General features: G+C 46.8%; 1 protein-coding gene and 1 pseudogene across 18 annotated transcripts in view, besides 6 other annotated features; both read right to left on the bottom strand.

Annotated features, from left to right (window-relative positions):
- Positions 1-4250, bottom strand: part of SLC9A8 (solute carrier family 9 member A8) — a 79415-nt gene extending 75165 nt beyond the window's left edge. For 17 of the 18 annotated variants that reach the window (NR_048537.2, NR_048539.2, NR_048540.2 and 14 more), the window contains exons 1-2: positions 4130-4250; positions 1889-2070 (exon numbers count right to left, since the gene is read on the bottom strand). Coding sequence is in view for 14 of the 18 variants with exons in the window: in XM_011528736.3 (XP_011527038.1) it covers positions 1889-2070; positions 4130-4155 (208 nt within the window). In the remaining 4 variants the exon portion in view is untranslated. Of the gene's footprint in view, positions 1-1888; positions 2071-3840; positions 3959-4129 lie in introns of those variants that run through there. The other variant, XM_047440069.1, reaches the window with a different exon arrangement.
- Positions 4002-4281: a silencer, noted in NCBI's record as "silent region_13004". NCBI's record gives its function as "represses an Ori minimal core promoter by ATAC-STARR-seq in GM12878 lymphoblastoid cells {active_cell/tissue: GM12878}" and the evidence as "EXISTENCE:reporter gene assay evidence [ECO:0000049][PMID:35858748]".
- Positions 4432-4571: an enhancer, noted in NCBI's record as "active region_18074". NCBI's record gives its function as "activates an Ori minimal core promoter by ATAC-STARR-seq in GM12878 lymphoblastoid cells {active_cell/tissue: GM12878}" and the evidence as "EXISTENCE:reporter gene assay evidence [ECO:0000049][PMID:35858748]".
- Positions 11590-11679: an enhancer, noted in NCBI's record as "active region_18073". NCBI's record gives its function as "activates an Ori minimal core promoter by ATAC-STARR-seq in GM12878 lymphoblastoid cells {active_cell/tissue: GM12878}" and the evidence as "EXISTENCE:reporter gene assay evidence [ECO:0000049][PMID:35858748]".
- Positions 11780-11829: an enhancer, noted in NCBI's record as "active region_18072". NCBI's record gives its function as "activates an Ori minimal core promoter by ATAC-STARR-seq in GM12878 lymphoblastoid cells {active_cell/tissue: GM12878}" and the evidence as "EXISTENCE:reporter gene assay evidence [ECO:0000049][PMID:35858748]".
- Positions 11910-11969: an enhancer, noted in NCBI's record as "active region_18071". NCBI's record gives its function as "activates an Ori minimal core promoter by ATAC-STARR-seq in GM12878 lymphoblastoid cells {active_cell/tissue: GM12878}" and the evidence as "EXISTENCE:reporter gene assay evidence [ECO:0000049][PMID:35858748]".
- Positions 14008-14137: an enhancer, noted in NCBI's record as "active region_18070". NCBI's record gives its function as "activates an Ori minimal core promoter by ATAC-STARR-seq in GM12878 lymphoblastoid cells {active_cell/tissue: GM12878}" and the evidence as "EXISTENCE:reporter gene assay evidence [ECO:0000049][PMID:35858748]".
- RNU6-919P (RNA, U6 small nuclear 919, pseudogene) lies at positions 22164-22267 on the bottom strand (annotated as a pseudogene).

Below are 23031 nucleotides of genomic sequence, written 5' to 3'. Positions count from 1 at the left end.
GGGATTATAGGTGTGAGCCACGGCGCCCGGCCAAACAAGAATTTGGACTTGGCTGGGCGTGGTGGCTCACGCCTGTAATCCCAGCACTTTGGGAGGCCGAGGCAGGTGGATCACGAGGTCAGGAGATTGAGACCATCCTGGCCAACAGAATGAAATGCCAACTCTACTAAAAATACAAAAAATTAGCTGGGCATGGTGGCAGGCACCTGTAGTCCCAGCTACTTGGGAGGCTGAGGCAGGAGAACGGCGTGAACCCGGGAGGCAGAGCTTGCAGTGAGCCGAGATAATGCCACTGCACTCCAGCCTGGGCGACAGAGCAAGACTCCATCTCAAGAAAAAAAAAAGAATTTGAACTTGGGTCAAACTCAAAGCTATTTATTCCTTAGCTAATCAAAAGTGGTTGTGTAGTTTCAACTGGATTTCTTTTTTGTCTGTTTGTTTGTTTGTTTTTTGAGATGGAGGCACACTGGGAGGCATTTAAGTTTTTGTCTTTTATCTAAACCTCTCGACTGGTATCTGGTAACCTGGTTATCAGTCTCTAGTCTTATATCAGCCTGGTATGACAACCACCTGACTTCTCTATGCTGAAATTTCCTCACACACTAAAAGAGAAGGTTGAACAAAATTAGTTTTTTGGTTTTTTTTGTTTTTTTTTTTTAAGACAGTGTCTCACTCTGTCGCCCAGGCTACAGTACAGTGGCACGATCTTGGCTCACCGCAGCCTCCGCCTCCCAGGTTCAAGCAATTCTCCTGCCTCAGCCTCCTGAGTAGCGGGGATTACAGGCACATACCACCACGCCCAGCTAATTTTTGTAATTTCAGTAGAGACAGGGTTTCACCATGTTGGCCAGGCTGGTCTGGAACTCCTGACCTCAAGTGATCCATCTGCCTTGGCCTCCCAAAGTGTTGGTATTACCAGCATGAGCCACCAAACTCGGCCCAAAATGAGGTTTTCAGAGAGTGAATGCATTTAATCAAAAATAGTACATAACTAAATTAACAATACAGGTGGTACATAGATATGGCAAAAGTCATGACCATGGTTAATGAGAATGACAGAGGTTAAGGAAAACAGGGTGCTGGGGCAAGGGTTTCTGCTCTTTCAATCAGCAGCAAAACCATTAAATAAAATTCACATGGAAGTCAAATAAATATGAACACAAAATGCTGCTCTGATTGAAGCCAGGAGCAGGGGGTCAGATATTCTCCCATCTGACTCCTCCCACCTCCTGCCACCCCACCCCCTGCTCCTTCATCCCCTGCACAGGTGCATACTCCTTTGAGTAGAACTTGAAATCCATTAAACTAGATGTTCAAGATTCTTTTTTTTTTTTCCAGACAGTCTTACTCTGTCATCCAGGCTGGAGTGCAGCGGCGTGATCTCGGCTCACTGCAACCTCTGCCTCTCAGGTTCAAGTGATTCTCGTGCCTCAGCCTCCTGAGTAGCTGTGATTACAGGCATACACCACTACGCCTAGCTAATTTTTGTATTTTTAGTGAAGACAGAGTTTCACCATGTTGGCCAGGCTGGTCTTGAACTCCTAACCTCAAGTGATCCACCCAAGTCTCCCAAAGTGCTGAGATGTCAGGCTTGAGCCACCGCGCCAGGCCTCAAGATTCTTTCTAGGCCAAAATTTTTTTAATCCTTCTTTCAAAGGCCAAGATATTACATCAACAGCTCTTCAGAACTTGCTAAGCACCATGATTTTATAAAGAAGAGAGTTTCCTGTTAATGATGTTATAAACTGATCATGTTCCCTCAGTGTTTGATATGAAAACCAAATGGGAGGAAGACTTGACAGTCAAGAGGAGTGACAGGGTTAAACACACAGACCGAGCACACAGACACGGGATGGCAGATGATGGGGATGACAGTGTCCATATTCACCTAGGACAAGGAGGCTGAAGAAAATGGTCATGCCGCTGGACTGCTCCTCTTGCTGGGCCTGCTCCCCTGTCTGCACGGGGAGGATGGGCTTGCCAGGGGTCGGGAGCACCAGTTTCGTCGTGACAACCAGGGTGGTGTGGAGGGTGACATTGAAACCCTCATGAGTTGTATTGGGGAACCTCCTGGAGGACATAGAAAGCATAATTAGATAATGGAAAAGGGTCCCAAAACATCAATTCACACACCTCACACCAGAAAGAGAAGCTGTCCAAGAACTTTATGGGATTCAGAAGTCTTTAACAGGCAGGCCTTCGAGAGAAACTTACTAAGAAAATCCCTGCCTGCACAGCACAAGGGTACCAGTGGCCTCTGGTGCTTTTGAATACAGCCACTTAGAGGACAAGAACGGTAGGGAATCAGAGCTAGTATAGAAATGAAATGCTGCCTGCTCTTTGGCAAATACTGGGGGATTTAAAGGGAGGCAAACTGGAGTCTCATCACTTTCCAAGGTCCAACACTGTTTACTTAGCACCTTTGTTTCTCCAATTTACATTATTTTCCTGGCATTATTTCTGCAAGTTGAAGAAGCCACCTCAATTTGCCCAGTTGTTGATCTGGGCATGCCCTACCCTACTTTACAAAATCCCTCTCAGATTTCAAACGGCTCAAATGTCACCTCCTATTACCCCATCTTACCACACCCGAATTTACCCACTCCACTGCGTATGTTCCCACAGCTCTTTCACACTGTGCTGGGATTGTGAACTAGTACAATATTGCTATAATAACTGTTACTGTGACTACAAAAGTTATTATTTTCTGAGCACTGCTTTATTCCAGGAACTAGGTAACACACTACCTCTCATTTAATAGGTATAACATGTCTGATTGGGTATGATTACTTTCCGTTTTTTACTCATGCATAACTAAGGCTCAGGGAGGTTGCAAAACTTCACCAACATCTCAGTTAGTGGCAGAATCAAGCTGAAAACCCAAACTTGAAATCGCTGGGCTATATTGCCTCTTTTATTTTGTGCTGCTGAGGCTGTTTAGTGTCTGGGATGGAGCAGCTGCTCAATAAATAACTGATTACATGAAATGACCCCCACATGGCCAAGAAATATATTTGAAAAGTTATCAGGTGAAGGACTCCAGTATCAATGAAGGGGTTCCTTATTCATCTTCACATACTCATTCCACAAACAGTGATAGGGCATCTACAATCTGCAACAGACTCTGCCCTGCAGGTATGGAGATGACTTTTGGACTTGCCCAAAAGTACCTGGAGGACACAGCCCGTCCTTCCCCATCTCCCCTTGTCCAGCTAACCCCCTTCCTCTCTACACACCAGCCATGCTGCCTGTCACTCAAAAGCACTAAACTCTTTCTTGAGCCAGGCCTTTTGAACCTGATGTTATTTCTCCTATCCCTCATTCTGGTCATTCAAGTTTCTGCTGAATGTCACTTTTTCCTGAGTGGACTCCCCAACCTTAACTCTATTTTGCTTCCTTCAGAACACTTAACCCATTCATGCCAGAGGTTGCAATTTTTAGAACTGCAGACGTGAGAAAAATCAGACCTTGGCGATGACCTTGAGCAGTAGGATATAAATAACTCCCACATGCTTAGCGTTCCAATAATGGAACACTAGGCACAAATAACGTTAATTAATCACGATCTGAAACCACCTTGACTAATTATGGTCTTCTTTTCCCACTAGAATGGAAGCTCCCAGAGAGCGGCTCCTGGTCGGCCTCCTTTCCTACCACCTGCCCAGGGCCTGGAATTGAGTAGATGGCTAACAGTTAATGACTAAATGAAACTTAGTGAAGGAGAAAGACATGAAAACTGATCGTTATACAGGAGGCGACTGGCTACGTAGGAGGTGGGTGTGGAGAACCCGGACGACTTCCTGGAGGAGGCGGAAGAGGGCTCAGTAACCATGAGATTACCGAAAACTGGGAAAGTAAATATGGTTTGTATTTTCCGCAAGACAGCTCTCCGGGCCTGCGCTGGGCAGTAGATTCCCAGCTCGAGGGACCGATCTCCAGGGGAAAGCAAGGCCCACCTGGGCCCAGGCCCGCCCATCCCGCCCTCCTCGTAGGCACCGGCTTGGTCAGTCCTGGCCAACCAGCAAAAGAAGCTCCGCCTTCCGGGGCCGGAGGGCGGCCTGAGGCGCTCGCTGTCACCCGCCGGGGCCCAGCCCCGCCGCCTCCGCCGCCCGGGAAAAAGCCCACTCACTCCTCTTCCGCCATCTTCTCCCCCATCCTGCGGAGCTTCCAGGACCACCGAGTTCGGAGCCGCGGGGCTAGCAGGACCCGCTTTTGCTTCCGGCTTCCGCTGGAGGCGCGGGCGGGCGAGCGGGAGGCGGGGCCTCGGCCGCGCGAGGGCGGCCCTCTGTCCCTCCGTCTCAGTGGCCCGAGGGTGGGAGAAAGCGCGTGGGAGGATTGCTTCTTAGTCTCTCCCGGGGCTTTCGGGACGCTTGTCCGGCCTGGGCCACATGACCACCTGGGACCGAGAGATTCCGGCTTTTCCCCATCACAGGGCGGGGACGTTTTGGGGAAACTCCTCTGAGGTCACTGTGACTCACCCTGAGGGCAAGCAAGCACCCTCCACCCAGTGCCCTCGACTTCGCTGTGCTAAAAGAGTTTGAAAAAGGATGCCCAGCCTGCAGCCTAAGCGGAGAGACCCCAGGGGGACACTTCCCCACCCGAGCCTTAGTTTCCTTCGGCTGTGGAGAGGAATAACCGCCTGGACTTGGCAGGACTGTGCAGCATTCCATCTGTAAACATGTGTTGAGTTCAGACTATATGCCTAGCGTTAAAAAGGATGCTGATGATCTAGGGGTGGACCATTCATTAAGGGGTTCATTGATTCACCACATGCTTAGTAGATGCTTCTATGTGCCTAGCAGTGACCGGTGGGGTGGGGATGCAGGGAGGAACAAGGTGAGGTGAGAGGGGTAGGTGAGACCCCCATCGGGAGGACTGGGGCTGAGGACTTTGAACTTTATTGGCCGCTTCTGTTGCTACCTCCCTTCCTGATCCAAGGCACTCTATCTCATCTGGATAATTGCAACGGCTCCATTCAGGGTCTCTGACTCACCCCTGTTCCTTACGGACTTCCACACAGCAGCTTAACTCATCACTCCTCTGCTTAGACCCTCCAATGGCTTCCAATCTCCAGAGAAAAAAAAAACGTGGGGAATGTACAGGACTCAATCCTGCCCCCTTTTCCCCTCTGAAGTGTGTGGGAGGGGGGCATGGGGCTCTATATCTCCCCTCCCACACACTTTGACTTTCCACTATTGTCCCAGACTCACCAGGAATACTTCCACCGTTGCACTTACTGAGCCTTTATCTAGAATGCTCTTCTTCTGGGTAGCTCTTTGGCTCCCACCTCTCCTACGTTTGGCCTTTTATTTAACCCTTATCTTGTGTGTTAGACCTCCTTGACCACCCTACTTAAAATCCAAGGCCCCCCGCCTTCCCTAAACTATTTTTCCACATGACACCTAACCTACCATATGTTTTACTCATACACTTGTTTGTTAACCATCTCCCTCCATGAGAACGGAAGCTTCATGAATGCAGAAATTTTTGTCTGTTTTGTTCTCCATTTTATCTGCAATGCCTACAACAGTACCTGGCACATAGTAGACACTCAATAATAAATAATCATTGAGTAAATAAATCAGTTAATTCTAGCACACCTAGAAGGGTTTTGAACTGAGAAGTAACCTAAGCTTTGCTGCCTGTTGGGAGTTGACTGGGGATTGGCGAGAGAGAGAGGATGGAAGCCCCAAAGCCAGCAAGGAGGCTTTTGCAATAATCTAGGTGACAGCTGATGGCAGTCTGGATGAAAGTAATACGGTGGAGGTGGCAGGAATGGTTGGACTCCTGGACGCATACTGAAGACAAGGTTTGCTGACGGACTATGGCGTATAAAAGAGGAGTTAAGCATGGTGTCAGGGTTTTGGCCCCGAGGAACTGGGTAGAGAAGAAATCTGGCTCTAACCTTGGGTTCTCCATCCTCTGCAGTCTCTTAAGACTGCTAAAGCTGACTGAGAGAATGTCATCAGGATCCACCAATGTTTATTGAGTAATAATAAACTTGCTTCCTTCCTGCAGGTGTGGTGTTGGGCTATTGTTTCCTTAATTCTTTACATAGCTTTGAGGTAGATACCATCATTATCCACAGACATAGAGAAATCAAGGCACTTGCCTGCGGTCCCACAGCTAGCAAATGACAAGGCTGGGATTCAGGCACAGAGCCAGTGTTTTTAAACCAGTAGCCCTGCTACTCTCCACTGCCTTAATTTCTCTGGCTCTTAAATGGGACTAATAACCTACTCTCCTCCGTTAGCACAGAGCCTGGCGGGAATGACCTGGTCTACAAAGGATTGAGAGTGGGGTTCTCTCTGGCCACACTTGTCAACTGAGGGCTTGAGGCTACCATTTTCTACCAGCACCAATAAACCCCACATGGCTGGAATTCGCCAAGCTGGAAACTCCACATAGCTGGAATTCACTACTCTTCTCTATCCGTTGTCTTGCCTACTGCCCTTGGCCTCCTCTGGGCCTACCACTAACCATGAGGCTGCAGAGAACATTCTCTCATGCCCATGGGTGAGTCTTTGGCTCTTCTCACCTATTCCTGAGAATGAATCTAAAATCCCTGGTCCTTCCCCGAGGAAGGTGAATAAAGCCATTCAACATGCAGTTTCTGGGCTCCAATGCTGTGTCAGGCCGAGAAGGAGGCAGCATAAGGCACCACAAATTCTGGTGCCAGACAGTGCTGGTTCCCAACCCCTCCTCAGGACCTACAGTCTCCGTGACCCTGAGAGGCTACAGCACCCTCAGAGCCTCAGGGCCCCCTCAATTTTTTTTTCTTTTTTTCTTTAATAACGCTTCTCTTTAGAAGACTGTTACAAGATTAGAGAGAAAACTGCCTTTGCTCTCCATTGTCTCTGCCTAGACAGCTCTGCCCGCTATCTCCAGTCTTCTTGTTATTCATGTCTCAGCTTAAATGTCCCCTCCTCAGGGAAGCCCTCCCTGACCAGTCTCTGTAAAGAGTCAGACAGTAAATACTGAAGGCTTTGTGGGCCTTACTATCTCTGTAGCAACAAATCAACTCTGTAGTTTGCATGCAGCATAAATAATATAAATAGGCATAGCTGTGTTCCAACAAAACTTTATGGATACTGAAATTTGAATTTTGCATTACTTTCACATGTCATGAAATACCATTCTTCTTTGGATTTTTTTTTTTTTTTTTTTTTGAGATGGAGTGTCTGTCACCCAGGCTGGAGTGCAATGGCACGATCTCGGCTCATTACAACCTGCACCTCCCAGGTTCAAGCAATTCTCCTGCCTCAGCCTCCCAAGTAGCTGAGACTACAGGTATGTGCCACCATGCCCTGCTAATTTTTGTATTTTTAGTGGAGATAGGGTTTCACCATGTTGGCCAGCATGGTCTCAATCTCTTGATCTCGTGATCCGCCTGCCTTGGCCTCCCCAAGTGCTGGGATTACAGGCATGAGCCACCAGGCCTGGCCTGTTGTTGTATTTTAAGATGGAGTCTCACTCTGTCACTCAGGCTGGAGTGCAGTGGCACGATCTCGGCTTACTGCAACCTCTGCCTCCTGGGTTCAAGCGATTCCTGCTTCAGCCTCCCAAGTAGCTGGAATTACAGGCGTGTGCCACCATGCCCAGCTAATTTTTGTATTTTTAGTAGAGACGGGGTTTCGCCATATTGGCCAGGCTGGTCTCAAACTCCTGACCTCAAGTGATCCACCTGCCTCAGCCTCCCAAAGTGCTGGGATAACAGGCATGAGCCACTGTGCCTGGCTAAGAATTTGATCTTTAATGCTTTTATTAAACAGGGAATCAAATTGGTTACCATGTATATCAGTCAGGATTCAATCAGAGAAGCAGAACCAAAAGGGGATATATTTTAAGAGCTTTATGGCAAGGAATTGGCTTAAAACAACACAAATGAATTATCTTATAGTTCTGTAGGTTAGAAGATAAAGATTTTCACTGGGCTAAAATCAAGGTGTTGGCAGGGTCACATTCATTCTGGAGGCCCTACGGGAGAATAAACTTTCTTGCCTTTTCCAGCTCCTAGAGTCTGCTTGCATCCCATGTCTCATGGTCCACTCGCTATTTTTAAAGCCAAGGACTGCCTCACCCCATGCTCTGCTTCTGATTCTGACTCTCTTGTCTTCCTCTTCCTCTTCCCCTCCACCCCCCCCTTTTTTTTTTTTTTGAGACTGAGTCTTGCTCTGTCGCCCATGCTCAAGTGCAGTGGCATGATCTCGGCTCACTACAACCTCCGCCTCCGGGGTTCAAGCGATTCCCATCTCAGCCTCCCAAGTAGATGGGGTTACAGGTGCCCGCCACCACACCAGCTCATTTTTGTAGTTTTAGTAGAGATGGGGTTTCACCATGTTGGCCAGGCTGGTCTTGAACTCCTGACCTCAGGTGATCCACCCACCTTGGCCTCCCAAAGTGCTTGGATTACAGGCATGAGCCACTGTGCCCAGCCCCTCTTTCTCTTATTAGGACCCTTCTGACTACATTGGACCCACCTACATAATCAGAATAATCTGCCCGTCTCAAAGTCAGCTGATTAGCACCCTATTTCCATCTGCAATCTTAATTCGTCCTTGCCCTGTAACATATTCACAGGGACCAGCAATTAGCACGTGGCCATCTTTGGAGGGCCATTATCCTACCCACCACGCCATAGGAAAAATAAGATCTGTTGGACTTCTCCTCATGTATTTTTTTTTTTCTTTTTTTGAGACGGAGTTTCACTCTTGTTGCCCAGGCTGGAGTGCAATGGCACAATCTCGGCTCACTGCAACCTCCACCTCCTGGGTTCAAGTGATTCTCCTGCCTCAGCCTCCCGAGTAGCTGGGATTACAGGCATGTGCCACCACACCCGGCTAATTTTGTATTTTTAGTACAGATGGGGTTTCTCCACATTGGTCAGGCTGGTCTCGAACTCCCGACCTCAGGTGATCTGCTCGCCTTGGCCTCCCGTAGTGCTGGGACTACAGGCGTGAGCCACCACACCCAGCCCTCTTCATGTATTTTTGCTATTTATTATCATTTCATATTGATTTATACATGGGAACGAGTGGGGCATAATTTCTTTAATACCTTTGGATGCTAACATTTTAATCTGGCCCTGGCCACTTAGCACGTAACAGGCACTAGAATTACTAAGCAAAAATAGAAAATCTGGGCTTGTAGAATTCAGTGGAGTCAGGTGTAATTCTCTGAGAAAGTTTGTGAAAAAAATCCAGATTCCAGGCCATGCATGGTGACTCACAGCTGTAATCCCAGCACTTTGGGAGGCCGAGGTGGGTAGATCACCCGAGGTCAGGAGTTCAAAACCTTCTTCACCCTCACCTGCCTTGTGTCCTCCCCACTGTCCCCACCCTAAGACTTGGTGACCGATAGAAACACTTGCTTCCTTGGCTTACTTTTTTTCTTTCTCCCTTTAAAAAAAAATCATAGTTTTGGCCGGGCGTGGTGGCACACACCTGTAATCTCAACTACTTGGGAGGCTGAGGCAGAAGAATCACTTGAACCTGGGAGGTGGAGGTTGCCTTGAGCCTAGATCGCACCACTGCACTCCAGCCTGGGCGACAGAGGGCGACTCCATCTCAAAAGAAAAAAAAAAGGAAAAGAAAAATGAAAAGTTGCAGAAAAGGAGAAAAGTAAAGGTCATCATAGTTTACCACGGAGCTCAGCTGTGAATGGCATTTACATAGTCACAATAATGTATACTGTAAATGTCAATCTCACAAGAATAACCATATAACTATATTGAGAGAATAAAGGATGGGAAGGGTCTCTGCATGGGCTGGGCAGGTGAGGAGAGGGAAAGAGGGCAGAACCCTTATTGCCCAGAGTGGGAAAGCAGATTTTACTGAAAACAGAAAAACTAAGAAGTGGCGATAGAAGCATGTTATTCCAAGACATGGAGTTAAATACCCAAAAAATCAGCTCAAAGTGATTATCTTTGGGGAGGCAGAAATGAGAGGAGAGAGTGAAGTGGGGATTCCTATTTTTAGAAAATTTGACTCTTCAACTTATGTGCATGTATGACCTCAATACAAATAAAATTTAAACCAAGAAACAAAAAAGGACAGGAGTAACATATTGAAATATTGTTTCGATAATGGTTATTTCTCAATTGTGGGTCATGGATATTGTTTTTCCTTTTGCTTATTTGTATTTTTAATATTTTTTTTCTGCAAATGACACGTCATTTGAAATGTAAGTAAATCCCTTTGACACTGTGCTTGTGACCTGCAACACTCAGTGACTGCCAGTCATCTTTCATAAACTAGAAACAGACCAGCTTGTCATATTTATTTCAATACAGAAAGTCAAGGCCGTGGGTATTTTGATCTTTCTGTCTTGATGCTGCCTCACCTCCCTGTTCTGAGTCACCAGCCCTATGGATTCTTCCTCCTCCACCCTCACCCGCTTTGTGTCCTCCACACTGTCCCCACCCTAAGACCTGATGACCGATAGAAACACTTGCATCCTTGGCTTACCTTTTTTCTTTCCCCCTTTAAAAAATATCATAGTTTTGGCTGGGTGCAGTGGCTCACGCCTGTCATTCCAGCACTTTGGGAGGCCGAGGCAGGAGGATCACTTGCACCCAGGAGTCTGAGGCCAGCCTGGGCAACATAGTGACACACTGTCTCTATTTTTATTTTGTATTTATTTATTTATTTTTGAGATGGAGTCTCGCTCTATTGCCAGGCTGGAGTGCAGTGGCGTGATCTTGGCTCACTGAAACCTCTGCCTCCCAGATTCAAGCAATTCTCCTGCCTCAGCCTCCCAAGTAGCTGGGACTACAGGTACTAAAATATGATTTTTTTTAAAAAATTAAAATAGGCGAGGTGCGGTGGCTCACGCCTGTAATCCCAGCACTTTGGGAGGCTGCAGCAGGTGCATCATGAGGTCAAGAGATTGAGACCATCCTGGCCAACATGTTGAAACCCCGTCTCCACTAAAAATACAAAAATTAGCCGGGCATGGTGGTGTGCACCTGTAGTCCCAGCTACTCGGGAGGCTGAGGCAGGAGAATTGTTTGAATCCGGGAGGCAGAGGTTGCAATGAGCCGAGATCATGCCACTGCACTCCAGCCTGGCAATACAGTGAGACTCCGTCTCAAAAATAAATAAATAAATAAATAAATACAAAATAAAAATAGAGACAGGATCTCACTATGTTGCCCAGGCTGGCCTCAGACTTCTGGGTGCAAGTGATCCTCCTGCCTCGGCCTCCCAGAGTGCTGGAATGACAGGCGTGAGCCACTGCACCCAGCCAAAACTATGATATTTTTTAAAGGGGGAAAGAAAAAAGGTAAGCCAAGGATGCAAGTGTTTCTATCGGTCATCAGGTCTTAGGGTGGGGACAGTGTGGAGGACACAAAGCGGGTGAGGGTGGAGGAGGAAGAATCCACAGGGCTGGTGACTCAGAACAGGGAGGTGAGGCAGCATCAAGACAGAAAGATCAAAATACCCACGGCCTTGACTTTCTGTATTGAAATAAATATGACAAGCTGGCTTGTTTCTAGTTTATGAAAGATGACTGGCAGTTACTGAGTGTTGCAGGTCACAAGCACAGTGTCAAACGGATTTACTTACATTTTCTGCTTCTACTCCTACCTGCCTACCACAGTCATGCATCACCTAAGGACAGGAATCCATTGTGAGAAACGTGTGGTCAGGCGATCTTGATGTGCGAACATCCTAGAGCAGACTTCTTCAAACCCAGATGGTGTTGCCTATGACACACCCAGGCTTTTATGGTATGGCCTATTGCTCGTAGGCTACACACCCGTACGGCATGTTACTGTACTGGGTACTGCAGGCAATGGTAACACAATGGCAAGTTTTTGTGTGTCTAAACATATCTAAACACAAAAAAGGCACAGTAAAAGTACCATATTATAACCTCATGACACCACCATTGTATTTGTGGTCTATCTTTGACCAAAATATCTGTATGTCTGTAGCTGTATTTACCTTACAATGACAGTGCAAGCAGTCTTTTTTTTTTTTTTTTTTTTTTTTTTGAGAGACAGGGTCTCATTCTGTCCCCAGGCTACAGTGCAGTTGTGGGATCACAGCTCCCTGGAGCCTCAACCTCTCTGGCTCAAGCCATCCTCCTACCTCAGCCTCCCAAGTAACTGGGATTACAGGCACGTGCCACCGTTCCTGGCTAATTTTTTGTTTTATTTTATTTTTTGTAGAAACGGGGTCTTGCTATGTTGCCTAGGCTGATCTTGAACTCCTGGGCTCAATCAAGTGATTCTCCCACCTCAGCCTCCCAAAGTGCTGGGATTATAGACATGAGCCATGGTGCCTGGCCCAAGCAGTCTTTTTGAAGTATGTATCAGATCATGTTACTCTTCTGCTCAAAATCATCCCACGGCTCCCCATTTTACTGCAAACAAAACCCAAACTCCTCTTGGCAGTCTGCAAGGCCCTGTTTGGTCAGCTCCCTTTCCCTGAAGGGGTCTCTTGTCCCTTTTCCCCTGCATCCCAACTCACTTATCTGCTCCTTGAACATGCCATGCTCCTCCCCAGCTCAGGACCTTTGCACTTGCTGTTCCTTTGTCTATCACCTTCTAGATATACATAGAGCTGCCTCCTAGTCATAATTCAGATCCCATACAATGGAAGCACCCTGACTGAGGCCGTCTCCCACCTGCCCCAGCCAGCCACTGCATCTTCCAGCATTTCACTCTCTTGTCCTCGTGGTACCTATTATGTGAAGTTACTCTGTTTTGTCCTTTTTAAAAAAACATATTTGAAATTATTATTGAAATATGGCCCAGGCACCATGGCTCATGCCTGTGATCCCAACACTTTGAGAGGCCAAAGCAGGCGGATCATTTGAGGTCAGGAGTTCGAGACCAACCTGGCCAACATGGCAAAACCCCATCTCTACTACAAATACAAAAATTAGCCGGGCGTATTGGTGCACACCTGTAATCCCAGCTGCTTGGGAGGCTGAAGCACGAGAATCACTTGAACTTGGGAGGTGGAGATTGCAATGAGCCGAGATCGTACCACCGCATTCCAGTCTGGGTGACAGAGTAAGACTGTCTCAAAAAATAAATTAATTAATTAAATTAAATTAAATAAATATTGAAATACAACTCATATAACAAAAACTTCATTTTAACATGTGCAATTCAGTGGGTTTTAGTGTATTCACTATGTTATGCAACCATCACAACTGTCTGATTCCCAAACATTTCTGGCACCCCAACAAGAACCTCTGCACCTATCAGCAGTCACTCCCTGCTGCCCCATCCCCTGGCAGTCATTACTTTATTTTCTGTCTCTATGGATTTACGGATTCTGAACATTTCATGTAAGTGGAATAAAATCTGTGGCATTTTATGACTGGCTTCTTTCACTTAGCACAATGTTGTTTCTTTTTCAAATTTACTTCCTTGTGACCTGTCATCCCCATTAGGCTCACAGGGGGTCTAGTACCTAGACTAGCACCTGACATAAATCATTAAGTATGGATTAAGCACCTACTATGTGCTATGTCCACAGTAGCACAGAAAACTCCAAGGAAACTGCCTTTTTTATTTTATGTTTTTCAGAATTTTCAATTATTTCTTCTTCTAATTTTTATTTATTTTATTTTATTTTTGAGACAGGGTCTCACTCTGTTACCCAGGCTGGCATACAGTGGCACAATCACTGCTCACTTTGGCCTCAACCTCCTGGGCTCAGGTGATCCTCCACCTCAGCCTCCCAAGTAGCTGAGACTACAGGCACAACCACTGTGCCTGGCTAATTTTTGTATTTTTTTGTAGAGGCGGGTTTTCGCCATGTTGTTCAGGCTGGTCTTGAACTCTTTGGCTCACGGGATCTGCCAGCCCGTGTCTCCCAAAGTGCTGAGATTATAGGAGTGAGCCACTGTCCCCGGCCCTTTATTTATTTTTTATTTTTTTATTTTTGCAAACTTTTTTTTTTTTTTGAGATGGAGTTTCACTCTTGTTGCCCAGGCTGGAGTGCAATGGCGCGATCTTGGCTCACCGCAATCTCTGCCTCCTGGGTTCTCCTTGCCTCAGCCTCCCAAGTGGCTGGCATTACATGCGCCTACCACCACGCCCAGCTAATTTTTTGTATTTTTAGTAGAGATGGGGTTTCACCACGTTGGCCAGGCTGGTCACGAACTCCTAATCTCAGGTGATCCACCCGCCTCGGTCTCCCAAAGTTCTGGGATTACAGGCGTGAGCCACCGCACCCTGCCCAGGCATTTTCAATGAAGGGGAAACTTTCTCCATAACCTCTATTTTCCCCTCAGTAATCCTCAAGTCTTCCCGGTACACCCTCAACACAGGTGATGGGCTAAGGGTTCATAGACGGTTTGGGGAAGTCTCCCCTTTTCTAACTCAGCAGACATTCAGCTGTCTCTAGAGAGAGCCACAGTACCTCAGCACGAAGCCCTTAACCAAAACTGAAACAAAAGAAAAGTCCCATTACACACCTGTTTCTAAGGGGTTTTCCCGTCTCTTTGCTTCTTATTCAAGACAAATCTGTGGGACAGTTAAAATATTTGCCATAAATAAAAAGATATAGGCTGGGCGCGGTGGCTCATGCCTGTAATCCCAGCACTTTGGGAGGCCGAGATGGGTGGCTCACGCGGTCAGGAGATCAAGACCATTCTGGCTAACATGGTGAAACCCCGTCTCTACTACAAAAAAAAAAAAATTAGCTGGGCATGGTGGCGGGCGCCTGTAGTCCCAGCTACTCGGGAGGCTGAGGCAGGAGAATGGCATGAACCCGGGAGGCGGAGCTTGCAGTGAGCCGAGATCACGCCACTGCACTCCAGCCTGGGCAACAGAGCGAGACTCTGTCTCAAAAAAAAGAAGGGGCCACAGGACAAGGAATGCAGGAAGCTTCTAGTTGCAGAGAGAATCGCAAGTAAGGAAATGGGGGCTTCAGTTCTACAGCTGCAAGGAACTGAATTCTGCCAACAATCTGAAAAGAGTCCAATTCCTCCCATAGCCTCCAGATGAGGACTCCAGTGAGCTGACATCTCTGCTTCAGCCATGTGATGCCCTGAACGTATAACACAGCAGAGCCTGCATGAGCTTAGGACCTACAGAACTGTGAGCTAATACATGAGTATCACTTAAAAGGAAAAATAGATATATTCACCTTGCTGCCGTCAGTCCTCAGCTGAAAGTGGGTTTGCTTTGAGTACCCCAGGGCGGGCCAGCTCTCTTGGGCCAAGGGGTAGACAGAGAGGCTGATTGGGAGTTAAGAACCCAGACACTGGAGCCAAGCTTCCGGGGTTCAGATCTCAGCACTGCCACTTACTGCCTCTGTCATGTTGGGCAAGTTAACCCCCTTGTGCCTCAGTTTCCCTGGTATGTATTTCAGAGTATTATTTTTGGGTGAAGTGAGCTAATATTCAGAAGTTCTTTTTTCTTTTTTTCTTTTTTTAAGACAGAGTTTCACTCTTGTTGCCCAGGCTGGAGTGCAATGGCGTGACCTCGGATCACTGCACTGCAACCTCTGCCTCCTGGGTTCAAGCAATTCTCCTGCCTCAGCCTCCCAAGTAGCTGGAATTACAGGCGCCCACCACCACGCCCAGCTAAGTTTTTGTATTTTTAGTAGAGACGGGGTTTCACCATGTTGGCCAGGCTGGTCTCGAATTCCTGACCTCGTGATCCGCCCGCCTCGGCCTCCCAAAGTGTTGGGATTACAGGCGTGAGCCACCGTGCCCAGCCTATTCAGAAGTTCTTGAAGCCATGTCTGTCTGGCACATAAGTACTTCATGGATGTTTCTTAAATAAAATAACCTCCCCCAGTCAATATATATGTGCATAATGGGGCGATTGCTTCAAAGTAGGGCTGAGCCCTTCGTTGCTTCTCCTGGGTTAGAAATACCAGTTGTTAGCCTGGGCAACACAGTGAGACCCCATGTCTACAGAAAAGAGAAATAAATAGTCAGGCACGGTGGTGTGCACTTGTAGTCCCAACTACTCAGAAGGCTGAAGTGGGAGAATAGATTGAGGCGGGAGAATAGATTGAGCCTGGGAGGTCAAAGCTGCAGTGAGCTGTGATCGCACCACTGCACTCCAGCCTGGGTGACAGAGCGAGCCCTGTCTCAAAAAAAAAAAAAAAAAAAAGAAGTACAAGTTGTGGTGACATCTAACCGCATATTTTCTTGTCTAATTTAAAGCCCAAAAGGGAAGTTTCTCTCTATTTCCTAGTAGGGGGAAACTAGAAAAAGCCCAATTATCTAGTAATAGAAGAATAAGTGCAGGCACTAAAAAGGATGACTCATATCTATGGGTATTAACTTGGGAGGGGTCTCTGCTCTGCCTTAGCAATGTAGTATAGTGGTTAACGTCATGGGCCTTGAAGCCAGATTACTTGTTTCTGAATTCCAGCTTGGCCACCTTGTGTGATCTTGGGTAAATCACTTAACTGCTCTCTGCCTCAGTTTCCCCATCTATAAAATTGAATTAATAATAGTGCTTATCACACAGGACTACTGTAAATATAAAATGGATTAATACACAGAGAGCAACTAGCATATGCATTGTACATACTCAATAAATCTTAGGATTACTGTTAAATAAAAAGATAGCACAGGTTCACTTTAGAATTAAGTACATGTGTATGCATTTAAAAAATCTATGGGCTAACTTACAAAATGCTCCAAAATTATGACTGTTTTTTATTCTATTCCTCACACTTTTCTGTATTCTCTGAAAATGCTTTTTCATAGTGATGAGCCAATACTTTTTTTTTTTTTTTTTTTTTTTGAGATGGAGTCTCGCTCTTGTTGCCCAGGCTGGAATACTACTTTTATAATCAAGAAAAAAATTTAAGTAATTCCCTTTGAGGGTCGGGAGCTTAATAAACAACTTTGCCCTCCAGCGTTGAGACCATCCATGAGTTATTTGCCCAACCTCATCTTCATGTGTTTGAGGATTGTTTTTGCCTTGGAAATTCTTGAACAGGAAACCAAGTCCGCTCCCTGTAAATCAGGATGGGCCTGTTAAAGGCTTTACTGGAGCGAGGAGGGGCGGTCCTCCTTCTTCACCCTCTCCTCTGTATTTTGGGGTAGGAGGGAATGACTCACCCTTCTTTTGGTTTGGCCATTTTTTCACTCCCAGTTTTTTTCACCCCCAATTTTTCAACGAAGTGTGGGAAACAAACGTGGCCCATCCGATCAATAGATCTCCATGCATTCGTCTCAAAGGTCAAAGCAGATCCATGTCTACTTCGCTACAAGTTAAAAGAAACACACAAACTACAGAGTGATACTTACTCAACAAATGTGTGTTGGATACTTGGCCAGTTGTGAAAGGTACTGATGACACAGCAGTGGCAAACAGAGAAAAATGTCTGCTCTGAATAAGTTAATTTAGGGAGTGAAAAACGCTAGCATGCAAGAAAGCATGATGGAGACGGAGCCACTTCAGATGGGGTGGTCACTGGGGAGGGAGTGTTTGAACTGAAAATGTAGAGTGTGCTTCCATTTTTGTAAAAATATTCTTCTGTGTTTGTATATGACTATTTATTATAAGCACAGAGAAGAAGTCTGGAGGGATACTCACTAGACTCTATTTGTGTTCTTATTTTTATTTTTTTTACTTTTAGAGATGAGGTTTTGCCCGGTCACCCCGACTAGAGTGCAGTGGCTCACTGCAACCTCAAACTCCTGGGCTCAAGCGATCCTCCTACCTCAGCCTCCCCAGTAGCTGGGACTACAGGTGCACACCACCATTCGCAGCTAATTTTTTATTTTTGTTTTTGCAGAGATGGGGTCTCACTGTGTTGTTCAGGCTGTTGTCGTTGCTCTTGAACTCCTGGACTCAAGCGAACCTCCCACCTAGGCCTCCCAAAGTACTGGGATTATAGGGCACAAATAGGCCCAGCCTATTTATGCTTTTAACTCCTAATACTTCTGGAGTTCCATTCTATGCATTGGCCTGGGCAAAACTCTTGGAATACCAAGCTGATTTAGGTAGGCATAATTCTGCCCTCAGAGGACTATCTCCTTTTCTAATTCCCCATCCTGCCTGGTCTGGACTAGACTCCACACACATCACTGCAAGTGACAGAACCCCCGCCTCAAACTGGCTTCTTCTACAAAAAAAAAAAGGGAATTTATTGGCTCACATAATGAAAAGTCCAGTGGTAAATCCGATTCAGGCATGGCTGGATCCAGGAGCTCAACAGAGTCAACAGTCCTCTGCCTCTCTCCATCTCTCATCTCTGCTTCCTCTCTTGTTGGCTCCACTTCAAGCCAGCTCTCCCCAAGATGGTTTCCCGCAGCTCCTAGCTTCCACTTTTCCAGCCAGCAATTCTAGAGGATAGACAGACTCTCTTTCTCTGGCTCCCTGAACCAATCATATCGACCTGAGGGATTCAGAAATTCAAGTGAGGAGAATGTGCCCACTTCTGGAATAGAAGGGAGAGTCTCCCTCACCTGAATCACATCTACTGAGGGCAGGAAAAGGCCACCCAAATTCCTAATGGGAAGGCCAAAGGACTGCATTATCGGCACATACGGAGCATTAACTATTTTCATACAGTAATGACAAGAGATAGGAGCACTTATCATTCCCATTTTGCAGGGTGGAACTGAAGCTCAGCAACTTGCATGAGGCCACACAGCTAAGAAGTGGAGAAACTGGGATTTGATCAGAGCCTGCCTGACATCAAAGCCCCCAAAGGATGATGGTGATGTTGATAATAATCAGAATACTGTTGAAGGCTGGGTGCGGTGGCTCATGTCTGTAATCCCAGCACTTTGGGAGGCCCAGGCAGGAGGATCGCTTCAGTCCAGGAGTTCAAGACCAGCCTGGCAAACATAGTGAGACTTCCTCTCTACAAAAACTAAACAAAATTAGCCTGGTGTGGTGGCACCTGCGGTCCCAGGTAGCTACTCGGGAGGCTGAGGCAGGAGGATCACTTCAGCCTGGGAAGTTGAGGCTGTAGTGAACCAAGATCGCACTGCTGTACTCAGCCTGGGAGACAGAGCAAGACCCTGTCTCAAAAAAGAAAATAATAATAATACAGTTGAGTATCCCTAATCTGAAAATCTGAAATCTGAAATGCGCCAAAATCCCAAACTTTTTGAGCACTGACGTAATGCTCAACAGAAATGCTCACTGGAGCATTTTGGGTTTCAGATTTTCAGATTAGGAATGCTCAACTGGTAAATATAATGCAAATATTCCAAAATCCAAAACAATCTGAATTCTGACACACTTCTGGTCCCAAGCATTTCGGATGAGGGATACTCAGCCTGTAATAGTAATAAGAGCTATTATTAGTTGAGCACCTACTGTATGCTAAGCTTTGCAAGCATGATCTCATTTTCTTCTCCCAGTAACTGTTCGAGGCAGGTAGAGAGGACAATGTTGTTGACTGACTCCTCGACATCCATCCCAGCCCAGCCACAGGCACTGGAACCAATGAGTCTAAGCCAATCATGAGACTTGCATCTTTTTGCCAGAGTTTGGTTCCGGAATGGGCCTCTGACCTACCTCAGGCTAATGAGAAGTGGAGAGAAGTTTGCCAGACGCTTCTGGGAAAGTTCTTCCTCACTCTTCCAGGAAGATGGCCTGGAAGTGAATCTATTTTCCTACCAGACATGAAAGAGGATGCCCGTGGCCCTGATAGCTCCTGGCAGTCATCCTGCGATCACGAGGAGGACCAGCCTGAGGATGAAACCAACACTGTGGACGGAGACATGGAAAAAGCCTGGCTCCAGGATGAGATCACTAGGCTGCTGGATCTCCTGCTCCCCCGTCCTAGAAATGTCCTGTGTGGGGAGCCAGGGGAGCCTGTTCCAGTAAAGCACGCTTGAGTTTTGTTACCCACTTCTTTCTAGTGAAGGGCATTCTAAAGAACTCAGTAGGTATTTTTATTGTCCTTATTTTACAGAGAGAGTGAGGCTCAGAGATTGAGTTGCCTGAGATCACACAGTGAGCTGGCCTTTGATCCAGAGTTTATCTGACTCCAAACTCACCACACAGTACGGTTCCCACACAGCAATAGTCTTCCTTCCGCCAAATGTCTTTCAGCCCCATCATGCTGAATCCCTGTGAAGTAGGTCTTTTATTATCCCTTTTGTTTCTGAGATGGAGTCTCTCTCTGTCACCCAGGCTGGAGTGCAGTAGCACAATCTCAGCTCACTGCAACCTCCACCTCCCAGATTCAAGTGATTCTCCTGTCTCAGCCTCCCAAGTAGCTGGGATTATAGGTGCATGCCACCACACCTAACTAATTTTTGTATTTTTAGTAGAGATGGGGCTCCACCATGTTGGCCAGGCTGGTCTTGAAGTCCTGACCTCAAGTGATCCTCCCTCCTCGGCCTCCCAAACTGTTGGGATTACAGGTGTGAGCTACCGCACCTGGCATTATTCCCATTTTGCAATGAGAAACATCTGTAGGGAAGGGGAGGCTGATTATCAGAGAGGATTGTGGACCTACACTTTGCTTTTAGCCTTCTGATTCAGAGCCAAGAGGGACGATCGTCAGATGGAAAGGCGTGGGAAAGTGGGCAGTAAGGAAATCATGGAGGATGAAGAATGCTATGATCTTATTCTGACCCAGGAGGCTTGAAAAACAGAGCCCCAGACACTCATTCGTATTCTCTCAGGATTGGCTCTTAATTCATTTTAAATTTGAGGTCTTGGCTGGGTGTGGTGGCTCACACCTGTAATCCCAGAATTTTGCGAGGCCAAGGTGGGCAGATCACCCGAGGTCAGGAGTTGGAGACCAGCCTGGCCAACAGGGAGAAACCCTGTTTCTACTAAAAACACAAAAATTAGCCAGGCATGGTGGCGGGCACCTGTAATCCCAGCTACTCTCGAGGCGGAGGCAGGAGAATTGCTTGAACCTGGGAGGCGGAGGTTGCAGTAAACCAAGATCGTGCCACTGCACTCCAGCCTAGGCAACAGAGCAAGACTCCATCTCAAAACAACAACAACAACAACAACAACAACAACAACAATTGAGGTCTTTCTTTTTTGCTTTTTTTGTTTGTTTTGTTTTGTTTTTGTTTTGAGATGGAATCTCGCTCTGTTGCCCAGGGTGGAGTGCAGTGGCGCGATCTCAGCTCACTGCAAGCTCGACCTCCTGGGTTCACACCATTCTCCTGCCTCAGCCTCCTGAGCAGCTGGGACTACAGGTGCCCGCCACCACACCTGGCTAATTTTTAAATATTTTTAGTAGAGACGGGGTTTCACCGTGTTAGCCAAGTTGGTCTCGATCTCCTGACCTCGTGATCTGCCCACCTCAGCCTCCCAAAGTGCTGGGATTACAGGCGTGAGCCACCACGCCCGGCCTGTTTTTTTTTTTTTTAAGAGTCAGTCTTGCTCTGTTATCCTGGCCGGAGTGCAGTGGTGTGATCATAGCTCACTCCAGCCTCCAACTCTTAGCCTCAAGACATCCTCCCACCTCTTCTTCCCCAGTACCTGGGACTACAGGTGCATGCCACCATTCCTGGCTAATTTTAAAATTGTTTGTAGAGATGGGGTCTCACTATGTTGCCCAGGCTGGTCTTGAACTCCTGAGCTCAAGCGATCCTATCGCCTCAGCCTCCCTAAGTGCTGGGATTATAGTCATGAGCCTCAATGTCCAGCCTGAATTTGAGGTTTAAAAAATTCACACAGGGAACACATCACCACTGTAGAAAAAATTTAGAAATATAGGCACATAATAAGATAACATAATTCAAAAATCTCATCAATAAGCCAGCTGTACAATTTTTGACAATTATGCTCAATCTCTTCATGCCTCTGTTTCTTCTAAACAGAGTGATCAGGAAAGTCTCTCTGAGGAGGTGGCATTTGAGTTGAGGCCTGAAGGATGAGTTGGAGCCACTACGGGAAGAGTGTTCCAGGCAGAGGAAGCAGCACATGCAAAAGTCCTGAGGTAGAAATGAACTTGGCCACTGAAGAGACAGGAGGACAGCCAGTGGGGTTCATGAGAAACAAGAGACAAGGAGAGTCGAAGGAGATGAGATCAGATCATGAACTAGATTAGGGTCAGATAACAGAAGAGGAAATGAGCTTGAGGCAAGAGGGCCACTGTGCGTGCCCAGCACAGCACAGACGTGGGCCAGTGACTTAAGCAGAAGCTTTATTCATCAGCATTGGCCTCCCAGGAGGAAGAGAGGGTGAGAGACGTGAAAGACACCACCAGTCAGTCTGGCACTTTTTTTTCTTTTTTCTTTTGTATATCGAACACCTCACAATTTTTTATGTCATTCTTGCACAGGGGCCATGCTAATCTCTGTATTGTTCCAATTTTAGTATATGCGCTGCCAAAGTGAACACTTTTTTTTTTTTCCCAAAGACAAGGTCTTGCCCTGTCACTCAGGCTGGAGTGCTGTGGTGCAATCGTAGCTCACAGCAGCCTCGACCTCTTGGGCTGAAGCCATCCTCCCATCTCAGAGGCCTCTTGAGTAGCTGGGACTACAAGCATGTGCCACCACGCCCAGCTAATTTTTAATTTTTATTTTGTAGAGATAGGGTCTCACTACACTGACCAGTCTGGTTTTGAACTCCTGGGCTCAAGCAGTCTGCCTGCTTCAGCCTTCCAAAATGCTGAGATTACAGGCATGAGCCACCATGCCTGGTGAGTCTGGTACATTTTTACCAAGTGCGCTCACTGTGCCAGGCCCCGCCCCAAGTCCTGGCCTCCAGGCATACTTGCAGAAAAGATCAGAAACTCAGGGACAGCCAAGGCTAGAAAGAGGCATTTTTCTGAAGAGGATGCTTGATTGGCCAAAAAATGGATGGAAAGGTCCTCAAGGTCCCTTCTAAGCAGGCAATGCAACTTAAAGCACTTAGAGACATTTCACAGTCATAAACTGGCAGCAACTTGAAAACCAGAAAATTCCAAGGCCTACAGGAGTGATGAACAGCCCAGGCTCTGGAACCAGCCTCTCTGGGTTCATGCCATGCTCTACTATTCCTAGCTGAGTGACCTTGGGCTAGTTATTTGCCCTCTCTGTGTCTTCATTCTCCATCTATCTAGTGGAGATGATGATAGTACCTCACCTCAAAGTTTTTTGAGAGGTTAAATGAGTTATTTCATG

Source organism: Homo sapiens, chromosome 20 (assembly GCF_000001405.40).
Source record: "Homo sapiens chromosome 20, GRCh38.p14 Primary Assembly".
Taxonomy (NCBI): domain Eukaryota; kingdom Metazoa; phylum Chordata; class Mammalia; order Primates; family Hominidae; genus Homo; species Homo sapiens.
The sequence above is the reverse complement of the archived record's forward strand: the minus strand, read 5'-3'. Positions and strand labels throughout refer to the sequence as shown.